This window comes from Homo sapiens, chromosome 2 (assembly GCF_000001405.40).
Source record: "Homo sapiens chromosome 2, GRCh38.p14 Primary Assembly".
Lineage (NCBI taxonomy): Eukaryota > Metazoa > Chordata > Mammalia > Primates > Hominidae > Homo > Homo sapiens.
In genome coordinates, this window is record NC_000002.12 from 4377601 (window position 1) to 4385918 (window position 8318).

Genomic DNA, 8318 nt, shown 5'->3' on the forward strand with positions numbered 1-8318 from the left:
TGAAAGTGTGCTCTGTGGGTGGGGGTGGTGGTGTGGGGGGTTGGAGAGTGCACAATTATAAAGGTTAAACCACAGGGCAGGGGAGAGCAGGTGGGGGAGCGAGGAAGAGTCTGAATGATGACTTCTAAGCCCCAAATTGTCAGTCTCTCTTAATGGGCTGGTTCCAGGTAGCCAGTGGGTTGGCATCAGGTGGCCTGTGGGTGGTCAGGGGGGGAATTTCCAGCCATGGTCTAGCTCAGCACTGACAACAGGAGCTGGTTTGGCTTGATTGTAGAAAGGGAAGTCCTGTGACACTTTTACAAGATCTTCTTGAAAACACAGAGTAGGTGACTCTCCCTCATCCATCCATGGCCTTCTTGTTCTAACTCTGAGAACATTAGCCATGAGGAGTCCATTTTGTCTGTTGGTAGGGGCATACTTTAACAGGTATGAGGATGTACTGACAGATGATGACACTTTAAGAATGATTTGGGGCTGGGTGTGTTGGCTCATACCTGTAATCACAGCACTTTGGGAGGCCGAGGTGGGCAGATAACCTGAGGTCAGGAGTATGAGACCAGCCTGGCCAACATGGTGAAAACCTGCCTCTACTAAAAATACAGAAATTAGCCAGGCGTGTAATCCCAGCTAATTGGGAGGCTGAGGTATGAGAATCACTTGAATCCAGAAAGTGGAGGTTGCAGTAAGCCACGATGGTGCCACTGCACTCCACCCTGGGTGACAGAGTGAGGCTCTGTCAGGAAAAAAAAAAAAAAAGAATGATTTGGTACTATAATTCCATTGTTTATTAGTAGAGTTTTGAATTATGTGCAGATACTTTTCTTTTAGCAAATACTGGCAGAGACCAGGGAAGATTTTCAGCTTTGTGTATCACTTCCCAAGTATAAAGATACCTTTTTTCCTCCTAAAGCTTATTTTATTTTTTATTTTATTGCTATTTTTCAAATTTTGTTTTAGATTCAGTTGGTATATGTGCAAGTTTGTTACAAATGTATGTTATGTGATGCTGAAGTTAGGAGTATGAATAAATCAGTCACCTAGGTAGTGAGCCTAGTACCCAATAAATAGCTTCCCAACCCTTGCCCCCTTCTCTGCCTCCTCAATCTTGTATTCCCCAGCGTCTGTTGTTCCCATCTTTATGTCCATGTATACCTAATATTTAGCTCCTACTTATAAGTAAGAACATGTGGTATTTGGTTTTCCATTTCTGTATTACTTGTTAGTTTACTTAAGGTAACCACTTCCAGCTTCACCCATGTTGCTGCAAAGGACATTATTTCATTTCTTTTTTATGGTTGCATAGTATTCCATGGTATACTTGTACCACATTTTCTTTATCCAATCCACCATTGATGGACACCTGGGTTGATTCCATGTCTTTTTATTGTGAATAGCACTGCAATGAACAAATGAGTACATGTAACTTTTTGATAGAACAATTTAGTTTCCTTTGGGTATATACCCAGTAATGAGATTGCTGGGTCATATGGTAGTTCAACTCTTAGCTCTTTAAGAAATCTCCAAACTGCTCTCCACAGTAGCTGAACAAACTTACATTCTGACCAAATTTTATAAGTGTTCTCTTTTCCCTGCAGCCTCACCAACATTGTTATTTTTGACTTTTTAACAAAAGATATTCAGACTGGCATGAGAGGATATCTCATTGTGGTTTTGATTTGCATTAGTGATAATGTGCATTTTTTCATGTATTTGTTGGCCACTTACTTATATGTCTTCTTTTGAGAAGTACCTGTTTGGGTCCTTTGCTGCAAAGAACAAAACTGGATGCATTCACATTACCTGACATCAAACTGTATTACAAGGCTACAGTAACCAAAACAGAATGGCACTAGTACAAAACCAGACACATAGACCAGTGTAACAGAAGAGAGAACACAGAAATAAAGCTGCACACCCATAACAATCTGATTTTTGACAAAGTGGATAAAAATAAGTAATGGTGAAAACACTCCCTATTCAATAAATGGTGCTGGGATAACTGGCCATCTGTATGCAGAAGAATGAAACTGGACCCCTACCTATTACCATATACAAAAATTAAGATGAATTAAAGAATTAAATGTAAGACATCAAACTATAAAAATCTTAGAAGAAAACCTAGGAAATACCCTTCTTGATATTGGCCTTGGCAAAGAATTTATGGCTAAGTCCTCAAAAGCAATTGCAACAAAAGCAAAAATTGACAAGTGGGCCCTAATTAAATGAAAGAGCTTCTGCATAGCAAGAGAAAGTTTCAAGGGAGTAAACAGACAACTTACAGGATAGGAGAAGGTACTCACAAACTACACATCTGACAAAGGTCTAATGTTCAGAATCTGTAAGGAGCTTAAATACATCAGTAAGCTTATTTTATTTTTTAAGCATTTTAAAAATACTTTTAGAATTTTATTTTAGAAAGTACAAAAAAGTAAGAAGAAAAACATGGCAATAATATTATAATCCACTCTTTGCATCTCTACTAATAGCATTTGGTTGATATTTCCTTGCAACACTTTTTATAAATATTTATATAGATCCTCCAAATTATGCAATTTTTCACTTAGTATTATATTTCATCTCTTTATTAAATTAGGTACTCATTCATTCAATATATGCCACTGAATTTCTACTCTGTGCCTGGCTGGCACCAAAGCAGTTGCTGGGGAATTAATCAAAAACATGACAATAAGATTTTACCCATGCCTTCAGTTTTTTTTGAACATCATTTTTAATGCTTGCTTAAAAACCAGTTGTATATTTTTATGATAACTCCCTTAATTATTTCTCAGGCTTGGGGTATTAGTTGAGTTTTAAGTAGGTAGAGAGATTTAGACACTCAATAAACAAATGTTCTATATGTCCATATTAATATCTTTTTAAATTTTTTCTATCCTAACTGAAAGTGAAATTAGCATGGTATATGTAACAGGAGAGAACAGAGATATTTAAAAAAACATAAAATGGCTGTGTTTTTAAAATAAAAGCAGGTCCTTGAATTGGTCTCAGAATTTCTACGGCTGCCTGGCACTGCAAAGAAGAGGGGCACGTCCTTTGTAGCTTATCTATCTCGTTGACTATCTGCGTGTCTTTCCCAGTAATGTGTCCTTCAAGATCTCAGCTCCCTAGCTGAGATAATTTAACATCACTCCTGATATCCTTGGTGTGGCATGCTCTGATTTGTTAGCCATCCCATCCTTACTACTACATGGATCCACCTTAGGTGACCTTTCCAACCTGACTGCCGGTGAGAGCCATCTTCTGTGGTTATTAATTCAAGACCTCTCTAAAGTCAGGCAATCATTAAGAATAACAACAACAAAAACTATAAAAAAGCTTAGGCTGCTGGTAGGGTTGGCCTCCTTCCAGCTTGCTGAATGGCTGCCGCTCATATAATCGGTTTGCATTGTGGCAGTATAATCAGGTTGACAAAAGTGGACAAGATTTTTGGAGGCAATCAAGCACACTAATTCATTTTAAAATGCTGAACAGGTGCAACTGGGACACATTGAAGGTAGTTATTAGCCAAAAGTCGCTCAGAGAAAGGCGGGCCCAACATCTGTGCCTATTATTAGAGACACAATAGAGTCGACTTCACTTGTAAAAGTGAGCAGGGTCTTCCTCACGGATGGGGCAGCCAGCTGAATGAACCTTCTGATTTAGGACTTTCACTGCTTACAGTAATTAGCATTCGAAGGGGAGTGTGCTGAATCCATCTTTTCTTTTCCCTTTTTCCTGGGGGTGGGTAAAAGTGGAGTGTGATTTAATTAAGAAAGGCAGTAACTCCAGGCACCCACCTAATCAAATGTTAACTACAGCAGAACAAGGACATTCTAATGAGGTCTTTGTGATTTAAATCTGACTAAGTGTGGTTGCCTACTGCTGTAGGGTGTCTTTGGTTTCCAAGGACTCCTTTGTTCTTCAAAATTTTTATTATTTTCAATTATCCCCAGTATATAGACCAGCTTATCATCAGAGACATGTGATTGCCGGAGATCCATTGGAAGGATAAATAAACCTAACAGAGCTGCTCTAGGTTCTGATAAATACATGAAGAGAAAGGCAAGACTATGACATCTGTTAGTACAAAATAAATGATAAATATTTGGAAGGTTTCATTGATAGACACAGCTTATAAATACTCTGATTTTCTTTTTTCTAATTGAATATGTGTCTCAGAGATATTCTTTATAATATGGAGTTGCGTAACAGAAAAAAGAAAATACATGAATCGTGAAATAAGACAGTTCTAGACTCAAGTTCCAGTCTTAGTACTAAAAAGTGAGCCTCTCACTAAGTTTTCTCTCATTCCATGCCCATTCATATGGCTCTGTGTTAGCAGTAGGGAATGTGATGGAGAAGAGAAGCAAGGGTCCTCCAGTGGGAGGTGCTGATAGGCATGCCATAGAAGTAATCACTCTGCTAGATAGAGCTTCCAAAAGTGAGGAATGTCTTTTGATCTTTACATCTCCAAGATTCCAAAAAGTGTCAGGTACTTTCAAAGTGTGCAAAAACATTCACTAAATGAAAACACGAATAACAATAAGTATATAAAAAATAAGCAGCACAGATATCTTCTGTTCCAGAAAAGTTATTATTCCAACATCTTTAATTCTGTTAAAAAGATTCTGGGTTCAGCTGGGTGCGGTGGCTCATACCTGTAATCCCAGCACTTTGGGAGGCCGAGGCAGGCGGATCACCTGAGGTCAGGAGTTCGAGACCAGCCTGGCCAACATAGCAAAATCCTGTCTCTACTAAAAATACAAAAATTAGCTGAGCGTGCTGCCACATGCCTGTAATCCCAGCTACTCAGGAGGCTGAGGCAGGAGAATTGCTTGAACCCAGAAGGCGAAGGTTGCAGTGAGCTGAGATTACGCCACTGCACTCCAGCCTGGGCAAGAGAGCAAGACTCTGTCTCAAAAAAAAAAAGAAAAAAAGGATTCTGGGTTCTGGAATGGCATTTTAACCCTCCCATACAACACACCCACCACCCCCCCACACACATTTTAAATTCTAATAATTATATTTTTATTAAAATATATAAAGCTTTTAATTTTTATTGTGTAAATTTTTTTTCATTTATTCAAAATATTTAGTGGATATTATATTTTTGAGAGAACTAACTATATGCCATCAAAGACTATATAGAGCTAATGATTCAAGAATGAGCAAGAGAGACAGAGGTAGAACATGCACCACAGTGGAAGCTGTGTCTTTCCATCACCTGATGTTGAAAGTGATATCCTATCACCTCTACTTTATGCTACTACTACTGATGACACAGAACAGCCCTGGTACAGTGTTGTTGGGTTGGTGGGGGAATGGCACAAGGACATGAATACCAGGAATCACTGGGGACCATCTTAGAACTGGTGACCAAGCCATTTAAGTTACCTTCTTTCATTCCCCAAAGTATTCCAGTCAAACATAAAAACCTAAAGTTCTGATGTTAGTTGTATCTGGATTGATTACATAACATCTATGCATTTCCCACCTCTGGCAGATATGTGGCATAATGTGCACCAAGACGGTTGGGTAGAGATGAACAAAGCAGAACAAAATATAGCATTGTGAAAGTAAAATAAATCTTGGACCCCTGAAATCATGAAGCCAAAGGAAAAAGTCAATCCGGGAACTGTTGAGGGCAAATATGCCTTCCATTCTATTCCTTAAAAAGATAGCTACTAAGACAAAAAAGCTACATACCTCCCTCACAAGGAATCTCCTTGTGGACAAAGGACAGACAACTCAAAGTCATCCCTCTGCTCACTGAAATAAATGCATATCTGATTGCCTCTTTTGGAAAAGCTAATTAAAAACTCAAAAGAATGCAACTTTTTGCTTCCTAACCTACCTGTGACCTGGAAGTCCCCTCCTGCTTCGAGTTGTTCCACCTTTCTGTACGGAACCATTGTACATCTTTTGTACATCTTACATATATTGATTGAGGTCTAATGTCTCTCTAAAATGTATAAAACCAAGCTGTGTCCCAACCATCTTGGGCACATGTCGCCAAGACCTCTTGAGGCTGTGTCATGGGCACATGTTCTAACTTTGGCAAAATAAACTTAAATTGACTGAGATCTGTCTAAGATATTTGGGGTTCACAGCATCACAACTACCTCCAAGCAGAGCTCAGCACAATTTTCATTTTCAAATTTGAAATAGAGTAAAGATAACTTACAGGAGATGGGATGAAAATATGTTTGCATGCTCAAGCACCCAATAAAAAAAATCTGTGCATAAAAAAATACTTTTTTTAAAAAAAAGCTCTGAGCCTATAATTTATATTTAGAAATTTTAAAATTAAATTTAGTGTTTTTAGAATTATGTGTTCACAGGATTCAAAAATCAAAACTATATACAACTATACGAGGAGCCTCATTCCACAACCATTCTTAATTGATTTCTTCTCTCTCACTATTCCAACATTTCAATTAATATTTTATATGTAATAGTGTTTCATAATAACAACACTAAAAATAAAATATGCATCGTTATTTTTATCCTCCTTTTACACAAAAAGTCACAGATTGAACCCTTATTTTGCTTTCTGCTTTTAAAAATGTTTTAATGAGATATAGCATATGTATATTAATATGCACATATCTTCAGTATACAAATCAATGTATTTAGCCTATTTAGCCACCACATAAATCACTTGTAGAATTTTTCAACACTTCAGAAAGCTGTAAGGCTCTTTTCTATTCAGTGCCTCTCACTTAAAGTAACTAACCATCATTCCTATTTCTATCATCATGTATTAGTTTTCCAGGTTTTAATGAACTCACAGAGTGTACAGTTATTCATGACTCTTTTTTTCAGTTACTTTATTGTTATTTCTGTGAGATCCTTGATGATGTTGTTTTTTGATGGAAATGGTTATATTTTTATTGCTGTGTAATTGTCCATTGTGTGTATGGACCACAATTTACTTATTTATTCTCCAATTATTTCTGTAAATAGTTGGATTACTTCTATTAATTTTTCTTTATTAAGAATAATGGTTCTGTCAACACTTTTGCATCTGTCTTTGATAAATATATGCTTTCTTTTTCTAGGATATATCTAAAGGAGTGGCAGAGTTGCTGTGTCATAAATATTGCCAAACATATATTTATATTTGTCTTTTGAATGTACATGTACATCATCAATATATGAGAGTTCCATTTGCTCAAACCACTTTAGGTAATACTTGTTACTGTCACTTGTCTTTATTTTAGCCATTCTGATATGTATGTATTGATATGTCATTATGGTTTAAATTTTTCTACAAAATACCATTTTATTATTTTCACATGCTATTTGACCAAGAGAATAGCTTCATTTGGGATATGAAAACCTAAAGTTCAGATCCTCAGCCTTAATTTTTACTCAGTTATATGTATTTTTAACATTGATTTGTAAAAACACATTTTATGTTATCGATATAAATTCCTTGTCTTATATGCTATTTTATATCTTTATAAATACTTTATGTGTTTATTTTATATTGTTAAAATACCTGGTTCACCTTTTTCTAACTCTTATTTTCACAGCAAAATTTCTTAATTTTTAAATTTTTTATTTTTAATTATTAGGGAGTTGTATATATGAAATACCGGTAATGTTTTGATACATACAATGTGTAACGATTAAATCAGAGTAATTGGGGTATTCATCACATTAAGATTTATTTATTTATTTGTTGTTTTAGCAACATTCTAATTCTTTTATATTTTTTACATTTTATTTTAAGTTCCGGACATGCAGGGTGTGCATGTTTGTCACATAGGTAAACGTGTGATATGGTGGTTTGCTGCACTTATCAACCCGTCACCTAAGTATTAAGCCCCACATGCATTAGCTATTTATCTTCATGCTCTCCCTCCCCTGACCCCTTGACACAACATTCTAATTCTAATTCTACTCTTATTTTAAAATATACAATAAATTATTAACTATAGTCACCCTATTGTGCTATCAAATACTAGATCTTATTCCTTCTCTCTAACTATAATTTTGTACCCATTAACCATCCCCATTTTATCCTCTCTGTCCACTACCCTTCCCAGCCTCAGGTAGCCATCATTCCACTCTCTACCTCCAAGGTCAATTTTTTAAACTTTCACCTATAAGTGAGAACATGTCATAGTTGTCCTACTGTGTCTGACTTATTTTCTGTAACATAACGTTCTGGTGTTCCACCCATGTCATTGCAAATTACATGAAATTTCTTTTTTTTAAATGGATGAATATTATCCTATTGTGTCTGTGCCACATTTCATTTTTTTTTTATTTTTTATTTTTTATTTTTTTATTTTGGAGACGGAGTCTCGCTC

At 36.3% G+C, this 8318-nt stretch overlaps 2 annotated features.

Annotated features, from left to right (window-relative positions):
• Positions 3178-3896: an enhancer, noted in NCBI's record as "OCT4-NANOG hESC enhancer chr2:4428368-4429086 (GRCh37/hg19 assembly coordinates)". NCBI's record gives its function as "activates a minimal SCP1, AML or CMV promoter by ChIP-STARR-seq in naive and primed H9 embryonic stem cells {active_cell/tissue: H9 hESC(naive and primed)}" and the evidence as "EXISTENCE:reporter gene assay evidence [ECO:0000049][PMID:30033119]".
• Positions 3897-4614: an enhancer, noted in NCBI's record as "OCT4-NANOG hESC enhancer chr2:4429087-4429804 (GRCh37/hg19 assembly coordinates)". NCBI's record gives its function as "activates a minimal SCP1, AML or CMV promoter by ChIP-STARR-seq in primed H9 embryonic stem cells {active_cell/tissue: H9 hESC(primed)}" and the evidence as "EXISTENCE:reporter gene assay evidence [ECO:0000049][PMID:30033119]".